The 19,464-nt window shown below is 42.3% G+C and overlaps 1 protein-coding gene across 4 annotated transcripts in view, besides 1 other annotated feature; it reads right to left on the reverse strand.

Moving 5' to 3' along the window:
* The window catches only part of GPC3 (glypican 3), a 449,850-nt gene that overhangs the window by 8,011 nt on the left and 422,375 nt on the right, over positions 1-19,464 (reverse strand). The window lies entirely within an intron of this gene.
* Positions 11,299-12,095: an enhancer, noted in NCBI's record as "H3K27ac hESC enhancer chrX:132689082-132689878 (GRCh37/hg19 assembly coordinates)". NCBI's record gives its function as "activates a minimal SCP1, AML or CMV promoter by ChIP-STARR-seq in primed H9 embryonic stem cells {active_cell/tissue: H9 hESC(primed)}" and the evidence as "EXISTENCE:reporter gene assay evidence [ECO:0000049][PMID:30033119]".

Below are 19,464 nucleotides of genomic sequence, written 5' to 3' on the forward strand. Positions count from 1 at the left end.
GCACACTTTTTTATACTAAAATATGCAAGGCTAATGATGGAGCAGAAATGTATTAGTTGCAAGCTCACTGAAGTCATCAGACATTTCCTGTTTAGCAGGTTATGTCTCAAATCCTCAGGAGTAGGGATTCACTCACCCTTCTCTGACGTAGTGGGGGGATTTAGGTAGAAAAATCTTAAAAACACTGTTAGAGGTTGGGTACGGTGGCTTACACCTTGTAATCCCAGGATTCTGGTAGGCCAAGGGGGATGGGTCACTTCAGCCCAGGAGTTTGAAACCAGCCTTGGCAACATGGTGAAACCTTGTTTCTACAAAAAACAGAAAAGTTAGCTGGGCATGGTGGCGTGTGCTTGTAGTTCCAGCTACTTGGGAGGCTGACGTGGGATGATTGCTTGAGTTCAGGAGGTTGAGGCTGCAGTGAGCTGTGATTGTGCCACTGCACTACACCCTGGGTGATAGAGTAAGACCCTGTTACAAACAAACAAACAAAAAACAATCCCAGCACTGTTAGGCAACTTGGGTCACCTGGGCTTTGTCAACTACCACGCTGGACCTTCTGACTCACAAATTCCTGATGAGTGACTTAATGTAGTCTTTTCTATGGCAACTTCCTTGTTACGAGGGAAACATCACAGTGATTGTCCTTAACTAGGGCTCAGACTGCTTCCTTTTTCTAACACAAATGTTTCCAGGGGTTTTCAACCACCAGCTATGCTTCACTATTATGTGTAGCCATTAAGAAAGAAATAAAAAAGTCATATGGGCCACCACTTACTTACATACTTACTATTTATAGAGATGGGGTCTCACTCTGTTTCCCAGTGCAGTGGCATAGTCATGGCTCACAGCAGCCTTGAATACCTGGACTCAAGCAATCCTGCCACCTCAGCCTCCCAAGTAGCTGGGACCACAGGTGTGTGCCACCACGTCTGGCTAATTTTTTTATTTTTATTTTTTGTAGAGACAGGGTCTTGCTCTGTTGCCCAGGCTGGTCTTAAACTCCTGGCCTCAAATTATCCTCCTTCCTCAGCCTCCAAAGTGCTAGGATTACAGGCGTGAGCCACTGTGCCCGGCCTACCATAGTTATTTAGGCACATCATGAGTCAAACCATATTCCCAGGAACAGAACAACCCCATCCTGGAAGCACTGACAGTATGTGTGGGTAATGTGGGTGGTGGCTCTCCTCCACCAGCCCCAGCATTCTCACCACCTTCCCCAGCAGTGTCATGACCACTCCTCTGATGTCTACAGGTCCTTCTTGCCTGAGGCTGCCTAACAGCTCCACAGAGATCGAAGCTCATCAGAGCCTTTACTTCCCACAGGAAAGGTTATCTCATTCCCATGGGAAATGATGGGCCTAACAGTCAGTAGAAGAAGAGGAGCTGAGGACAGAGACACTGTACAGCAAGGGCCAGGGAAGAAGATCAAGATAACTGATCTAGAGAAGACAAGGGATGGGAAACACTTTAAAGAGGGGTGGGTTAACACGGTCAAATGTTGTGTAGGGGTCAAGAAAAGTAAAGACTGAAAAGAAGCCACTGTAGATGTTAAATAGAAGGTTATGGGTGATTTTTGGAAGATGTTTCAGTAGGATTGTTGGGTAAGAAACCAGATGTGGCCATGGTGCCTGCCTGTAGTCCCAGCTACTTGGGTTGCTGAGGTGGGAGGCCAGGAGTTCAAGACTGTAGTGCACTATGATTACACCTATGAATAGCCACTGTATTCCAGTCTGGGCAACACAGCAAGACCCATCTGTTAAAAAAAGACAGTGATTAGTGAGTTAAGGAGAGAGGGGGAGCTAATGTGGATTCTCTGAGAAGTCTGAGAGTGAGTGAAATGAGGCATTTGCCACCCTGACTGTGCCTGGGGTGCATGGCAGTGCTGTTAGTGCCACAACACCTCACCAGTCTGTACAACCAAGTTTTGTTAGACGGTGCCTCTAGAATTCCAAAGCAAAATGGCCTTTTAAAATACTATATTCTTGCTGTCATTGATGCATAAACAACCTGTAACCAGATACTCAAACAGATACTTGTATGCCAATGTTCATTGCATTGTATTCCTAATAGCTGAAAGGTGGAAAGAACCTAAGTGTCCATCAACAGATGAATGGAGACACAAAATGTGGTACGTCCATTCAATGGACTATTAGCCAAAAAAAAAAAGGAATGATGTACTGATAAATGGCACCACATGAATGAACCTTGAGCGAGACTCTGTCTCATAAATAAACAAACAAGCAAACAAACGGGGATGTCAATTTCTAAAGGTTGACAAACACTGATAGGACTTTAACTACTTCTAATATGTTGGTGGCCCTAAATTCTCCACAAGGTAGTCATTTCTCTAACTTATCTCCTCTTGCTGTTAGTTTTTAGTTGCACCACACACATATTGAAATTAGCCTGCATTCTAGAATAACACAGAAACTTATGCTGGAATTCTTCAGCTTGTCCAATTTTCAGCCCTTACAAGTTCTGAGACATTAAGGTTATTATTACTTAAATGTTCCTCACTTTCTTTTGTGTCATTCCAGGTCAGCCAAAAGAATTATTTTCCATAATGATATGTATACACCTCTTCTACCTAGCTAAAGAACAACTTAATATACACATTAAGAAGGATGTGGAATAGCCAAGATTAAAAAAAAAAAACTTAAAAAAAAACCATTATAGTAAGTGAAAGAAGCCAGTCACAAAATGCCATATAGTATATAATTCCATTTATATGAAATGTCCAGCATAAACAAATAGAGAGAGAGAGAAAGTAGATTAGTGATTGCCAGTGGCTGGGGGTAGGGGAAGGGTGAGTTACAGCTTAAAAGTTACAGAGTTTCTTTTTGGGATGATGAAATATTTTGGAAATAGTGGTGATGGTTGCACAACATTGTAAATGAAATTAACACCACTGAATTGTATACTTTAAAATGGTTCAAATGTGAAGAAAGGGGAACCCTTGTACACTGTTGGTAGAGATGTAAACAACCACTATGGAGAACAGTTTGGAGGTTCCTCAAAAAACAAAAAATAAAACAACCATATGATCCAGCAATCCTACTGCTAGGTATATACTCAAAAGAAAGGGAATCAGTATATCGAAGAGATATCTGTACTTCCAGGTTTGTTGTAGTACTATTCACAATAGCCCAGCTTTGGAATTAACCTAAGTGTGCATCAATAGATGAATGGATAAAGAAAATGTGGTATGTATACACAGTGGAGTACTATTCAGCTATAAAAAAGAATGAGATCCTATCATTTGCAACAACGTGGATGGAATTGGAGGCCATTATGTTGAGTGAAATAAGCCAGGCACAGAAAGACAAAAATTGCATGTTCTCACTCATATGTGGGAGCTAAAAAATAGATCTCATGAAGGTAGATTGGTGGTTACCAGAGGCTGGGAAGGGGAGAAGCAGGAGGGATGAAGGAGAAAAAAAGAATACAAATGTATTTATTACCACTGAACTGCACACTCAAAATTAATAAAGATAGCAAAGTATATATGTATATTTTACCTCAATAAAAAATAAAAATTGGTTAAAATAGCAAAGTTTACATTCTATATATTTTGCCATAATTTAAAGAAAAAAAAACTTACACTAGAAACCAAGAGATAACAGCATCTGGGGATGCTCCCTAGTTCCTAAGGGGAGTGCACCACTACTCTGGTATCTTACCTTGTAGAGGGGTCTGTGTGTGAATATACCTGATACCAAAGCATCCATGCCAAATGGTACTCGTCTGTGCTTTGAAAGTCAAGTTAAGTTGTGCAAAAGAATGAAGATGAATGGATATTTGAGTGCTACCCTGGAATAGCAGATATAGATAGCTCTTCAACTGGGAATGGGGAAGAGGGTAATTTTCACCAAGAATTTTAATCTGAGGCTGCATTATTATTATTATTATTATCATCATCATCATCATTATTTTGAGACAGGGTCTGGCTCTGTTGCCCAGGCTGGAATGCAGTGGTGTGATCGTAGCTCACTGCAACCTCTGTCTCCCAGGCTCAAGCCATCCTCCTTCCTCAGCCTATAGGACTAAGATGCACATCACCACACCAGGCTAATTTTTGTATTTTTAGTACAGACATGGTTTCACCATGTTGTCCGGGCTGGTCTTGAACTCCTGAGCTCAAGCCATATGCTTGCCTCAGCCTCCCAAAGTGCTGCGATTACAGGTGTGAGCCACCACTCCCAGGCATGAGGCTGCATTTTTTTAAGAGACACTTTTATACATTCTCAGGAAACTTACATTTGCTTTTGTAACTCATACAAAGGCTGCTACGCTGAAACTGTTAAAAAAAAAGTAAATGAAAGCATACACTCTGTCCTTATAACATTTTCAAAAGTTATTTAATCATTTAGATTCACAGAGCTCTGTTTGCAATATACATTTCAGGCATGATGCAGCTACAGAGGTATGCATCATTGGGCTTTGAGCACATAGAAGAAAAACACAAAATGTCACTTATTGTAGCCAAATCCAATTGCTGGTGAGGGGTTATGGGAGTGAGGGAGTGGCCTTGCAGTCCCTTGGAGCCCAAGTATATCAGGGCTTCATCAGTGTATCAGGGTTTTAGATATACTTGGATGGGAAAACCCCAAATCAGGTAACCTTACATTTTTAATCAGCCACAATGGATCTTACAAAATAAATAAATAAATCAATAAATAAATGGACCTGAGAACTAAAATGCATGCAATGTCCTGGCAATGCCCAACAGCCAAGAAAGGTACTCATACAATAGCCAAGGGGTCAAAATGGCTCAAGGCCCTGAAAACACCCTATCCAGTAATCAACAGCAGGCAGGTATCCTTATACATGAAAGATGAATAGCCTCCCTAAGTTATTCCATTTGGATTTGTTCTTTAAATACTTTCTGAGTATGAAATCTCTCCCTCATTGATATAGTTTGGCTGTGTCCCTACCCAAATCTCATCTTGAATTCCCAAGGGTTGTGGGAAGGACCCGGTGGGAGGTAATTGAATCACGGGGGCAGGTCTTTCCTGTGCTCTTCTTGTGATAATGAATAAGTCTCATGAGATCTGATGGTTTTAAAAATGGGAGTCTCCCTGCACAAGCTCTCTTTTTGCCTGCCGCCATCCACATAAGATGTGACTTGCTCCTCCTTGCCTTCCATCATTATTGTGAGGCCTCCCCAGTCATGTGGAACTGTAAGTCCATTAAGTCTCTTTTCTTTTTGTAAATTGCCCAGGCTCAGGCATGTCTTTATCAGCAGCATAAAAATGGACTAATACACTCATCATCAATGGGATTTGGAGAATTGAGACTCATTTTCCCTCAATTTACTCGGAAGCACACACTGTCATCCTGGCTCCATCCTCCTCTCTTCCCACCTTTGGACCTGCATGTCAGCGAGTGCCCATTCTCACATTCACACAGGTGCCATCTCTTTTGATGCTGTCCATTTCTCCTCTTTCCTTCAGCTTCCCCACCACCGCCACCCACAGTCCTCAATGCCTTAGCCACATAAGAGCCATTCCTCTCCAGGGGCCCATTGCCATCCAGGAAGAAAGAATGTTCCATTCTGTGATAGCTGGAACCAGAGAAAACTCTTTTCCTGAAACATATGTTGGAACACATTTCTCTCTTCCTCAAAATCCTTTGATGGCTCCCTACTGCATGTGGGATAGAGTCCTAATTCCTGAGCATGGCATTCATGAGCCTCCCCAGCTCATCTTTTCTTGCTTTCCAGTTTCAACTGCCCATATATTTCTCCAAGTGCCATATGCTGCAGTCATACCATCCCATTCACCATTTGCTGAAAATGCCAAGCACTCTGGAGTTCCCATGTCTTTCTTCATGCTATTCCCTTAGCCTGGAATGGCCTCTCTCTCTCTCTCCCTCCCTCCCCCCTCTTTATCTCTCTCTCTCTTCTTCTCCCCTTCTCCCTCTCTTCTTTCTCTCCCTCCATCCTTCCCCCCTCTCCTGTCTCTCCTTCCCTCTCTCTCTCTTTACCATCCTCCCTCTCTCTCTCTTTACCTTCCTCCCTCTCTCTCCCTCCCTCCCTGTCCTTCTTTTTCTCCTTCCCTCCCTCTCTCTCCCTCCCTCCCTGTCCTTCTTTTTCTCCTTCCCTCCCTCTCTCTCTTCCTGTCTTCCCTCCCTCCTTCTCTCTTTCTATCCTTTTCTCTCTCTCTCCCTTTCTCTTTCTCTTTCTCTCCTTCCTCCCCCCTCTGTCTTTCTGTCTCCCACCTACCCTCTCTTTTCTATCCACAATTGTATCTTTCTGTTTGTTTGTTTTGTTTTTTTTTAGACAGAGTTTCACTCTTGTTGCCCAGGCTGGAGTGCAATGGTGTGATCTCGGCTCATTGCAACCTCTGCCTCCCGGGTTCAAGAGATTCTCCTGCCTCAGCCTCCCAAGTAGCTGGGATTACAGGCATGCACCACCATGCCAGGCTAATTTTGTATTTTGAGTAGAGATGGGGTTTCACCATGTTGGCCAGGCTGGTCTCGAACTCTTGACCTCAGGTGATCTGCCTGTCTCGGCCTCCTAAAGTGCTGGGATTACAGGAGTGAGCCACTGTGACCGGCCCCACAATTGTATCTTTCAAGCCTCAACTTACATGATAGCCTCTTCCAGGAAGCCTTCCCTTCTCACTTCAAGCCAAATAAATCACTTCTCTCTCTGAGTATTAATTGAATTGAACCTCTATTACAGTACTAATTTCCATCTGCCTCACAGTAGAGTTAGTCATTTCTATGTTCCTCTCCTCAACTAGACTGTGCTTCATTGAAGAAAGAAATTCACCTTATTCCCCTCTGTCACTCCCACACAGTGCTTGGCTAACACAAACACCTAAAAACATCAGTCATTCAGTTGAATGACTGAGTGAATGCAGGAAACAATGGCTGCATGAATGAACACACATCTCCACCCTACTGAGAATGTGCAGGTGAAGGGCTGCCTCCTTACAAGACACCCTTCCCAAGGAGTTGATCTCTACTAACTGATGATTTCCTTAGGAGAAGGAGCCACCACTGATCCATGAAGTCAAGAAAAAGGCAGGGCCAATGGTGGGTGGCTCAGGAAGCAAATGGCAGGGCTCAAGCCCTGACCTCTAGATTCCAAGGTACTTCTGAGCAATACTCAGTCCTCATTACCCACAGCATCAGTTTACCACACTCAGTGTGGATGGAATCCACAAAGATTATGTTCTTATTCCCTTTTGCTGCCTGGAACTTGATGCTTTGCTATGTGAGCAGCTGACACATGCTGGCAATCTGTGTGCCATGCTGGGCAGGAAACAGGGTTTTTGATGAGTAGGTTCTATTCATTTCTTACTTGGAACCTTCATGATTGTGTTCCCATACCTTTGACCCCTGTCCCAGCCTCACAATCTGCCCCCCCCCACCCCACCCTTCGCCCTTGGCCACACCCTGCCCTTTCCATCACCACTGATTCTCAAGTGCAGGGACTGCTGGTGATTGAAGTTTCAGTGCCTGTCTCTGTGACATCAAAACACAGGCTCGTTAATGAAGTCCCTCGCTTGGCTGTAATAGTACAAAGCAGTAAGACTTCAATCCCTGCAGTCACACATGCCGGCACCCCTTTTCCCTTGCAGAGGGCTGCAGGATGCTTGCCAGGAAAATACAATTATGTGCTGGCACAGGAATAAATGTAATTCTTTAACCTAAAAGTTCTGTGTTTTCATTCCCCCTCCTTTCCATTTCTCTATTCACTTCTTTTTCTCTTTCCATTGCTCTTTAAACTAATTTCCTGTGTCCAATTATTCCCTTCTCTTCTGTCTAGTCCTTGTTCTAGTAAACATTTTCTCCTGTCTCCATAATGCTCTTTTCCACAGCTGTAGGCAAAGGGCAACGTTGGAATCCTCTGATAGGTTTTGAATCTTAAAAATGATTTTCTGTTCCTCCCCACTTTGATTTAAACCTCTAGTCTGGGTTCCATTCCTTTTAGAAGAGATTCCAGTATCTCCTTCTTTAATTTTCCACCAGTTTCCATTCCCTTACTGTTCTCCTCTCAGCACTTCTGCCTGTCACCTCAGTTTCCCTCCTGTGCCCCTCTAGCTCCACAGACCTATTTATCTGATAATGCCTGCCTGTTTCCTGACCCCAGCACCTGCCTGCACCCTCTTTGTCATTCCTCTTCTCTCTTTCTTCATCTTAGATTCTTCTTGCCCCATAGCCATGCCATTTTAGTTAATGCTGATTCATGGCTTTGTCTTTCCCCTAAGGGGAAAATGATTTGGATTTAAAAGAAATTAAGAACTTTCTAATAACACAATCTGAAAACTGGACTTGAAAGATAAAGAACTTTCTAATAATAAGTGCAATCTGGAAATTGCATAGGCTGGCCCTAGGCAGTGAGATCTATCTCTGGGAGGCAGTCTATGAGAGTTTGGACAGCCATTAGGTAGAGATGTCGGTGAAGGGATGCAAACATGGAATGAGGGGGTGAAGGTAAATAGCTTCTGATGACCCTTGCTAGCCCTAAGAGTCTAAGATTTCATTCAGGTCTTGAGAGGTCTCATGGCAGGGAAGAAGGGTGAAAGCATAAGGGTTAAAGTGACCTTTGCTTTGACACAGACACTGGAGAGAAATCTAAAGAGACTGCTTTGCATCCTTTTCAAAGAAAGGGACCAGCGTCTTTTGGAGACCATGACTCACTTAGGGAGGAGGGCTTTAAATCAGTCAAGGAGTTATTGACCAAGACATAATTGTAGGGAAATAACCACGGACCTGCCTGGAGTGGGGAGAAAAAACCACATAATCTATCCAGCTTATTAAACTAGAGGTTAATCTCAGGGATAGTGTGAATACATATCAAGCAATACGAAATGCGCCTATACGGTAAAGATGGTCATATGAGGATACTGCCTATGGAGAAGATGGAGCAACCAACTCAGCAATTGTTTACATTGAATTTTTCTCCCTCCCAATAGGAAACTAATTCGCAGTTAGTAGATATTTTGCTCAATGCAATCACACAATGGCATCACTCAGGATCCAGAGGAAGAAAAGAAGAGGCATCAGGTGAAGAAAATTCAATTTGGGAACATGATTAGGACATAAGTTGGAAGGAACCAACAGGAAGGCAACTGAGGAGAAAAAGCTGGATGATCCTCATACAAATAGCTCTGTGGGCATTAGAACAAAGCAAGCAAGTGCAAAAGGAGGCCAGGAAAAGTAAAAAGATGCTAAGTGGCTCAAACTCACGGCTATAAAGATGTGAAAGGGAAAAAGGAAAATTCTACTACAAAGAGTGGCAGCCAGATCACTAAGCAGGACTATAATAAGCAGCAGGAAGATATTGAACCAAAATAAAAAGAAGATGCAATTGGCAAGAAACGAACACTTTAATTAAGTAGGGCCATTGACAGCCCTGGTTCCTTACAACTAAGAAGGGGCAGAAGTTTTCCATTTTGTTTTTACCTAACTATAGAATACATCACATGTGCCCATTAACCAAGACAAATACATCGTGTGATTGGCCAAGTCGAATTAAGAAGGAAAATGGCTGAGAAGGACAGGCATCATAGAAGTGTCAGAAAATGAATGATGAGATTTCAGTATGAAATCTCACTTTCTGTAGGGCCAATAAGGAATCCATGTTTAAACACATTAAAATGCAATCAACAACAACAACTAAAACAGGTATAAATTGAGGCTTTATAGCCTGGCATCCTACTTTTTTTCTAGAAATATGTGCTAAAAATACGAAATGATAAAAATAAGTAAAACAACTAATCTGCAATTATCCAGAGGAGGACAGGACATAGGTTGATAGTATCAGCTTGGTGAAAAGCAAATCAGACAATAAGCTAAATATTGATATTGCAATATAGGAGTGTTGAGGTGTAGCATCAGTAATCTCATAGACTCCCTGTCATTTTATTTCACAGGGCTTTTCCCAAACCATTTAGGAAGAGATCAGACTAGAAGTGCCCCTTGGAATAATATTTTGCCCTAAACTAAATTTCAATGGATTCTTTTTTTCCATTTATATTTTTGACAACTTTATTAAGGCATAATTTAAAACAAAATTCATAAAATTCACCCATTTCAAGTACATTTCAAGCACAGAATTCAATAATTTTTAAATTTACTGAGGTGTGCAACTATCACTATAATCCAATTTTAGATCATTTTCATTAGCCCAATAAGATCCCTCATGCTAGTTTACAGTTAATTCCTCAATGGATTCTTTTCAGGGTTTCCATCCTGAGCTCTCTACAGCATTCAATACTACAGACTATCCTCTTTCTCTCTCTCTCTCTCTCTTTTTTTTTTTTGAGATGGAGTCTTACTGTGTCGCCAGGCTGGAGTGCAGTGGCACAATCTCGGCTCACTGCAACCTCCACCTCCCAGGTTTAAGTGATTCTCCTGCCTCAGCCCCCTGAGTAGCTGGGACTACAGGTGCGCACCACCATGCCCAGCTAATTTTTGTATTTTTAGTAGAGACGGGGTTTCACCATGTTGGCCAGGATGGTCTCAATCTCTTGACCTCGGGATCCACTCACCTTGGCCTCCCAAAGTGCTAGGATTACAGGTGTGAGCCACTGTATCTGGCAATTTTTTTTTTTTTTTTTTAGAGATGGGGTCTCACTCTGTTGCCCAGGCTGGAGTGCAGTGATGCAATCATGGCTCATTGCAGCTGTTAGATACAGTGAGTTCTAGATTTCTCGTCAAAGAATTAGTATGTCAGTATGTTCAGTTCTTTGTCCTGCATTTTAAAGTTTAACTTCCTTGTAGTTTCAGTAAACAACCTTTTCCACCAGTTTTAATCAGTAGTTCACATCTGTTCCCCTGGTCACCTGCTCCATCCTGACTCACCCTGGTCACCTGCTTTGACCTGAGTCACCCCTGGTCACCTGCTTTGACCTAAGTCACCTTTAGTTACCTGTTTCTAACCGTCCTCCCCACCAAACTACTCACCCTGCTGCTCTGGCTCATACCCCTGCTCTCTTTAAAATAGCCAATTGGAATTAGCTTAGACTGTGTGGTCCAACCCTAGCCAGTAGGGGAACGACACAGCAGTAGGGGCTACCAGCGTCAGGAATAAGAACCCCTTCCCTTCCCTTGTTCAGGTGTGCTCTTGCCATTACTCCATTCATGAGTTGCACCCTTCTATAGAAGTAAAAATTGCCTTGCTGAGAAAATTAAATTTATGTTTGAGTGCTATTTCTTTGTGGCACTGAGGAACAAGCATTTTGTTTCTAACACAGCCTTGACCTCCTGGGCTCATATGATCCTCCTGCCTCAGCCTCTGGAGTAGCTGTATCTACAGGGACATGCCACTACACCCAGGTATTTTTTCTTTCTTTTTTTGAGAAAGAGTCTTACTCTATCACCCAGGTGGAGTGCAGTGATGCAAACATAGCTCACTGCAGCCTTGAACACCTGTGCTCAAGCAATCCTCCCACCTCAGCTTCCAAGTAGCTGGAACTATGGGCGCATGCCACCTGGCCAGGCTGGCCACTCTCTGTCTTGAAACTTGGTTCCCCCTTACACCACTTCCTTCTGGATGCTCCTCCTACTTCTCTGATCATTCTCAGATTCCTTTGCAGGCTCTTTTGCCTCTGCTCATTTCTTAAAGATGGATATTCTCTCATCTCTTCCTTGGCCTTCCACTCTTCTCATCTTACAAATCTTCCTAAATGCTCTCATCCATGTCCCTGATTCTGTTTATCGCTGAGGATTCTCAAATCTATCTCTAGCTCAGACATCTTTCTGAAGATCTAACTGCCCACTGGCCATTTCTACTTGGATGTCTCTCAGGCATTTCAGACTCAACATGCCACTGAAGGCTGGGTGTGGTGGCTCAAGCCTGTAATCCCAGCACTTTGGGAGGCCAAGGTGGGTGGATCCCTTGAGGCCAGAAGTTCAAGACCAGCCAGGCCAACATGGTGAAACCCTGTCTCTAATAAAAATACAAAAATTAGCCAGGTGTGGTGGCATGCACCTGTAGTCCTAGCTACTTGGGAGGCTGAGGCAGGAGAATCGCTTGAACCTGAGAGGCAGAGACTGCAGTGAGCCGAGATTGTGCCACTGCACTCCAGCCTGGGTGACAAGGCGAGACTCCATCTCAAAAAAAAAAATAAAAAAAAAAAGCCACTGAAATGATGAATGCAGCAATGCAGCATTTCTATTTCTATTCCCTTAACTGCCCCTCCTCCCAGGTTCCCCTTTTTCAGTAAATGCTTCTACTGTTGCCCAATCCAGAAACCTGCCAGCCACCCCCAGATTCCTCCTCCTTTTTCATCCTCCAGCTGTAATTAATTACCCCATCCTGTAAATTCTGTTTCCTTGATATTTTGTGAACTCTTCTTTCAATTACCATTGTTTGCTACGGCTTAGATTATGTTCTTATAATTTCTCACCTGGACTATTGTGACAGCTCCCCTGTTTTGTCCCCTCTCAAATCATCCTCCCTGAACTCTTGATAGAGTTCTTTTATTTTGTTAATTTTAAAACTACTCAACATGTGAATACATTCTTGAAGCTAAAGATTCAAACAATGCCTAAGTATATAGAGTAACAAAAGAGAGCCCCCTTTCACCTCCCCCTCCTAGCACTATCCAAGAGTAATTACTGGATTTTCCATGAATATGCATACATAGGCTCAGACTGTAATGTAATGTCTTAGAAATCTCTGCCTGTTCATACATGTGGAACTACCTCTTTCTTTCTCATTACTGCAAGGAATTTCATAGTATTAATATAACACAATTAACCATTTTCCCACTGATGGGCATTTAGGTTGTTTCTCATTTCTCCCTGTATAAACAATGCTGTAGTGAATATCCTAGAACATACCACCTTTGGGTACATGGTGATTCCTACATGCCAAGGTCCTGGCATGTAGGAATGGAGGCTGTATGGGGGACAAGTTACAAGACAGAAGGTGGTACAGATTGGTTGGAGAAAAATATTTTGAGAGAAGGGAGAGTAATGTTTTTTTTTCTTAAAAATGATGTCAAAAAGATTATGTAGAGGAGGTTATCAGGGAAATATGACATTAAAGTTTTTGGGGGGGTGGGGGGAGGGGGGAGGGATAACATTAGGAGATATACCTAATGTAAATGACGAGTTAATGGGTGCAGCACACCAACATGGCTCATGTATACATATGTAACAAACCTGCACGTTGTACACATGTACCCTAGAACTTAAAGTATAATTTAAAAAAAAAATAAAGATTTTTTTTTGAAATATCATCTTATAATGCTATCACCCTAATGCAACTGCTATTAAAAAGTATTCATTTAAGGGGCCGGGCATGGTGGCTCATGCCTGTAATCCCAGCACTTTGGGAGGCCGAGGCAGGCGGATCATGAGGTCAGGAGATCGAGACCATCCTGGCTAACACAGTGAAACCCCGTCTCTACTAAAAATACAAAAAAATTAGCCGGGCATGGTGGCGGGCGCCTGTAGTCCCAGCTACTGGGGAGGCTGAGGCAGGAGAATGGCGTGAACCTGGGAGGTGGAGCTTGCAGTGAGCCGAGATCACGCCACTGCACTCCAGCCTGGGTGACAGAGCAAGACTCCGTCTCAAAAACATAAAAAATAAAAATAAATAAATAAATAAAAAATATTTATTTGAAACAAACAGCATTTTCAACATCTGATGAATCTGGCTGGGCACAACTGCTACAGAAGATGACCTGGGAGTCACAGTGACTCACCACAGAATATGACTTGGCAATAGAGTGCTTTCATTAAAAAACAAAAACAAAAACAAACACAACACAAAACAAAACAAACCCCAGCATGACACGAGGCTATATCAGTTGGATTATGGAGCAAATCCTAGTATGTGAGCTACCACTATGGTGCTTGGTTGAACCCATTTACAATATTTCATTTTTATTTTCACAGTTTTAAGATGTTGAGAATACTTCTTTGAGAAAATAACCCAAATGATTTAAGAGGGTGGAGAATACATCTTTTGAGGAAGTGCTAAAGGAAATATAATTGTCTGGTGACCTTGGATTCACTTCCCAAAGTGGTGACATTTTGGACCTGAGACCCACTTGACCGAGAGTTTTTAATGCCAGCAGTAAATTCATTGCTCAGCCTGCAGATCCACAACTGCATAAGAAGCAGGCAACAATATAAAGAGAAAATCAAAATGAGCAAACTGTAATTAGGTATGCAATGTCACCAGAGAATGCAATTTACTAAAGGGATTACCATGATTAAAGATGCATTCCCCTTAAATAAAGATTTTTTTTTTCTCGATTGATTTCTCCCAAGTGGTTCTCCCTATGCCATGCAGAAATCCGGTCGGACAGCAATTTCTGGTTGTCTTTTTAATTTCTTTGCCAAGAGATTAGAGAAAGTAAGTTGAGCCTCTGAAGTCACTATAATTTCCTCACAAATGGAAGAAATATTTACAGAGGGCTATGGAGACAGATTATAGCTTAGGTCACCCAGGGGAGAAATGTGAAGCCCCCTTTTGACTAACAACAAGGTAAGTAACCTGCAAATCTTTCTTTTTTTCCTCAGTATGAAGCCTAAGACCAAGTTTAGGAGGCTCCCTTTTCAATTTGGGCTTTTTTTTTTTTTCTTTGTCTCATTTTTCTCATGCTTTGGCCAGGCAGCATTTAGAGGGTGCAGGGCCCTGAGAACAGACTCAGACAGCATCCTTCGCCTTCCAGGCTCTCTCACCTACCTTCTTTATCTCACTACTTTTTCTTTTCCTTTCTCTATAGCTTCTTTCTCTAAAATCTCTTCTAACCCTTACGATTTGCTTTTTGGAGTATCTTTTTGGGGAAAGATAGGGTTGAAAACGTATCAAATTCTGGATGCTGATCTTTGTCGCCATTACCTGAGGCCTGATGAAAACAGTTTGGTTTAAATGTGTCATCGGCCAGGTGCGGTGGCTCACGCCTGTAATCCCAGCACTTTGGGAGGCCTAGGTGGATGGATCACGAGGTCAGGAGTTCAAGACCAGCCTGGCCAAGATGGTGAAACCCTGTCTCTACTAAAAATACAAAAATTAGCCCGGCATGGTAGCAGGGCCTGCAATCCCAGCTACTCAGGAGGCTGAGGCAGGAGAATCGCTTGAATCCGGGAGGTGGAGGTTGCAGTGAGCCAAAGATCACACCACTGCACTCCAGCCTGGGCAACAGAGCAAGACTCTGTCTCAAAAATAAGTAAGTAAATAAATAAATAAATAAATAAATAAATAAATAAATAAAAATAAATGTGTCCTCATGAATAAGCCCTTAAAGTGGACGAGTGGTGGGTGTGGCAGCCACAGGTGAAAGGAAGGGTTTATATTGAGTATGTTTAGTATAATGTAATTAATTCATTAATTTATGTAACATTTCTTTCTTTCTTTCTTTCTTTTTTTTTCTTTTGAGACAAAATCTCGCTCTGTCATCCAGGCTGGAGTGCAGTAGTATGATCTCAGCTCACTGCAACCTCCGCCTCACAGGCGTGAGCCACCATGTCCAGCCAATTTATGTAACATTTCTTGAGTGCTGAGAACATTTATGGATGTCTGAGGAACCAGCGGGCCAGGCATTGGGGACAGGAGAACCCATGGAGCCTGCCCTCAAGGGGCTCTCCATCTAGCAGGAGATTGACACATGGCATAGGTGTTAGGAGGGCAGCGATGAACATAAATTGGGTACCTGTTGTTTGCTAGACACTGTGCCAGGTGCCATAGTGGGTACGGAGTTGAGGAAAACTCAGGAAATCTCAAGGAACTCTCTATCTTGTGGGGAAGATGGGGCAAGTACCAAAACCCCCCGTAGGCCAAGGTAGAATGTGATGAGTGCCACAAGAGAGGCATGAACAGAGTGCCATGGGGATTCTGAGCAGGGGCAGAGCCTGTGGAGTGTTCTGAGAAGAGAAACCTGGGAAAGACTGATCCACAGACCTTTCCTGCTGTGTCTATAAGCAGAGAAGACTTGATTATTTAGTATCAAACTTGTATAATACTAAATACTTGTACTCACTTCTCAAATGAGATAAGATATGTAAATAATACTTGTAAACTTTAACGTGCTCCTCAAGCGTAAGATGTTATTTTTTATTTGAGAAAGCCATTAACATTTCTGGAGAAACACTGCTCTGGAACCTAAGAAAATCTCTCATGCATTTCACATCATCTACCCGCCCACCCTTTGATGTCCTTCCTTTCTCTCTGTCTCTCTATGTCTCTGCTCCTGTCTCTTTCTCTCTCTCATCTCTCTTTTTCTCTCTCTAATCTTTATTGTTTGATGAGCCAAAGTATTCAGGGAAGAATCTGTGCTTTGGTCTTAGTCACTGACGGACAGGAATCCCAGGTCAATAACCCAGGGCCGGATGTTCGGAAGGTGTGGATTGCCGTCAGTGTCCTGTCACCCAAGGTTCACTGTGAATTCACTCAGGGTGATTTCCAATGGACCGCCTCACCCATATTCTGTGTATCAGAGCATAGGCACGGTGGGGTGTAGCTGCTCTTCAAATGAAACCCTAAACCCTTTCAAACACTCGGCAATCTTTCTACTTTCTCAGCTTGTGAGGCTCTGAAGATTTCCCTGTGTACATTTTTCCAGCATGATGTGAGATGCCAGTTATTCAAGAGAGACTTAGGACAATGTCTTTAAAAAAAGGAGTTCCCTTTCCCCCTGGAGTTTTTGCCATTAACTGTTTGTAAGTTTATTTGCACATTTTACGAACTGAAGAGCAAATGTATTCCTACTATTAAAAAGTGCCTATTTTGGCCGGGCATGGTGGCTCACGCCTGTAATCCCAACACTTTGGGAGGCCGAGGTGGGTGGATCACCTGAGGTCAGGAGATCGAGACAAACTTGGTCAACATGGCAAAACCCCGTCTGTACTAAAAATACAAAAATTAGCTGGGCGTGATGGCCCATGCCTGTAGTCCCATCTACTTGGGAGGCTGAGGCAGGAGAATTGCTTGAACTGGGGAGGTGGAGATTGCAGTGAGCTGAGATCATGCCACTGCACTCCAAACTGGGCGACACAGTGAGACTCTGTCTCAAAAAAAAAAAAAGTCCCTATTTCTTCATATATTGAAACATCACATTGTACTCCACAAATACATGCAATTATTATTTACCAATTAAAAATAAAAATTAAAAAATCTTGGATGGGTTTCTTTGCCTGTCCCAATTATTGAAATGAACACAATTAAAAGCCAGACAGAGATCATCAAAGAGGTCAGATGCAATGAGGTAAGGGAGTGACATATCCTCTGTCTCATATTCTCTCTCATTCCTGCTTAAAGAAAGAAAAGCAAAAGGCCTGTCTTACTGAGGAAGTAAAGACATATACCTCTTTTCAAAGCGTTTCTGACAGAGAAAGAGGTGCTACCATGCTGCCCATCATCAACCTCCAACTTGCTTCACTACCTTCCCCCTCCATCACTTATTTTAAAATACCAACTCACCTTAGCTGAGAAGCACATTGGTACTGTAGTGATGGGAAGGTTTTATCCAAAAGATTGGTAAACAGAAGCTATCAGCTTGAATTACTGAAATTAGCAAGGCTAATGCAATGTCACTATTCAAAACAGTGCCAATTTGGAATTTCTTAATGGCCTCAGGAGAGGGAGTCTTTATACATCCTACAATCTCTCTTCATTCTTACCTAAATTCCTTCTCATAGATGTTGTGAATGGCCTGTTTTGTAGCCAACACAAACTTTGTCCACTAAAATAATGTAAGGAACTCAGAATGAAAAGAGATTAGCTGTTCCTGGCTCCTGTTATTTTAAAGCAGAAATAACTTTGGCTTTTACTGATTCATAGACAAAGCTTGAAATGCAAAGCATGCCCAACTCCAGATTCAGCATGAAAAGGACCTTAAAATATGCCCAAGTGCAAGTAATGGACTTATTAAAGGGAAGAAAAGAGGCACTTTTCACACACTCTGAAGCTCTTTAGTCCTGTCATATCAGTAATCTTGCTTAAGAATTTCATCCTATTTACATTTCTTCTCCTTTTAAATATCCTCAGGATTCATATGGCATCAAATATTGAAGCTTGTAAGACATTAATTTCTTTATGTTAATTATGAAGAAGGCATGTGAAGTGCACAAGTGATAGAATTTGGAGCACTTGCAATGATGTCAATAGGAATTAAAAAATCAGTTCTGTAGTTTTAGTTGAACACCTGATAATTTACCCACACAGATATTTTATGACACAAACTTCAAGTATCTTCTTTGGACAATTTCTGGCATTGTTCCAGAATGAATGCATTTTCCATTAGGAAATTTAGTTTATATTCGATGACAAAAGCATGAACTGCACCATTTGGGTGATTATGAAAACATTTATAAAATCAAAATAACATAGAAGGCTTTCAAGCCACAGTACATAAAGCACACAGTTCTAAAATATGTACATGCACAGACATACAGGCATTCTGTTTTAACTTTGAGAGAATTTTAAAAAGCGAAAATAGTGCCTGAAAAATGTTTGGGTACCTTGGAATATTTATGTGAAATCAAAAAGGCGAAGGAGTCACGAGCAGTTTTCCAAGCAGCATTAAAGTAAGGAGGCAGCCTGGTCCAGTTCCCCTTAGAGGTATCAGGTTCTCATCCTGATTTTCCTGCTGATTTTTCCCAAGATTAAGAATAAATGACCTGGCTGGGCACAGTGGCACACAACTGTAATCCCAGCACTTTGGGAGGCTGAGACAGGTGGATTGCTTGAGCTCAGGAGTTTGAGACCAGCCTGACCAACATAGTGAGACCCTGTCTCTACCAAAAGTACAAAAATTAGCCAGGCACAGTGGTGGGCGCCTGTAATCCCAGCTACTCGGGTGGCTGAGGTACGAGAATTGCTTGACCCCAGGAGATGGAGGTTGCAGTGAGCTGAGATCGTGCTACTGCACTTCAGCCTGGGCGAAAGAGTGAGAATCGGTGTCAAAAGAAAAAAAAAAGAATAAATGACTTAATGTCTGCACCTCAGTCTCCATCTGCGATGTAGTTAATATAGTAAAGTAGGACTTAGATGAAATTTGCTATGGGCAGGTCCATTCTGAGTAGATACTAGTCTGTTTCCACAGGAGTCATTAGAAAGGGGGATCACCACCATAGAACCATTATGGGAGTGTTAGGATCTGGAGGGACCGCATGAGAGATTGAGTAGCTCCGGTCAACTACTAGCCATGTGACCACAGTCCTTCAAATCTGAGCCTTTTGTTGCTAATCTGCAAAATAGGGACAATATCACTGCCTTCACAGGATGGTAGAAGAAATTATATTAGATATTATAAATGTCCCAGTTTGTGGATCAAAGAGAGGGAAATGGTCAGGAACAGGGAGAGATAAAAAGGACAACTAAACTATGTTGTTGTCCCTGAAGAGGGGTAGGGGAGTATTCTGCAAGGCTGGGTTTGGAGGTATTTAAAATAATTCTTTTAAGGAACCAATAAATGAAGCTGGGCTACATGATACCAAAACACTTGAGGGGAAAAAAAAGGCAAGCTGACTATCCAATGCTATGAATTGAAT

Source organism: Homo sapiens, chromosome X (assembly GCF_000001405.40).
Source record: "Homo sapiens chromosome X, GRCh38.p14 Primary Assembly".
Taxonomy (NCBI): domain Eukaryota; kingdom Metazoa; phylum Chordata; class Mammalia; order Primates; family Hominidae; genus Homo; species Homo sapiens.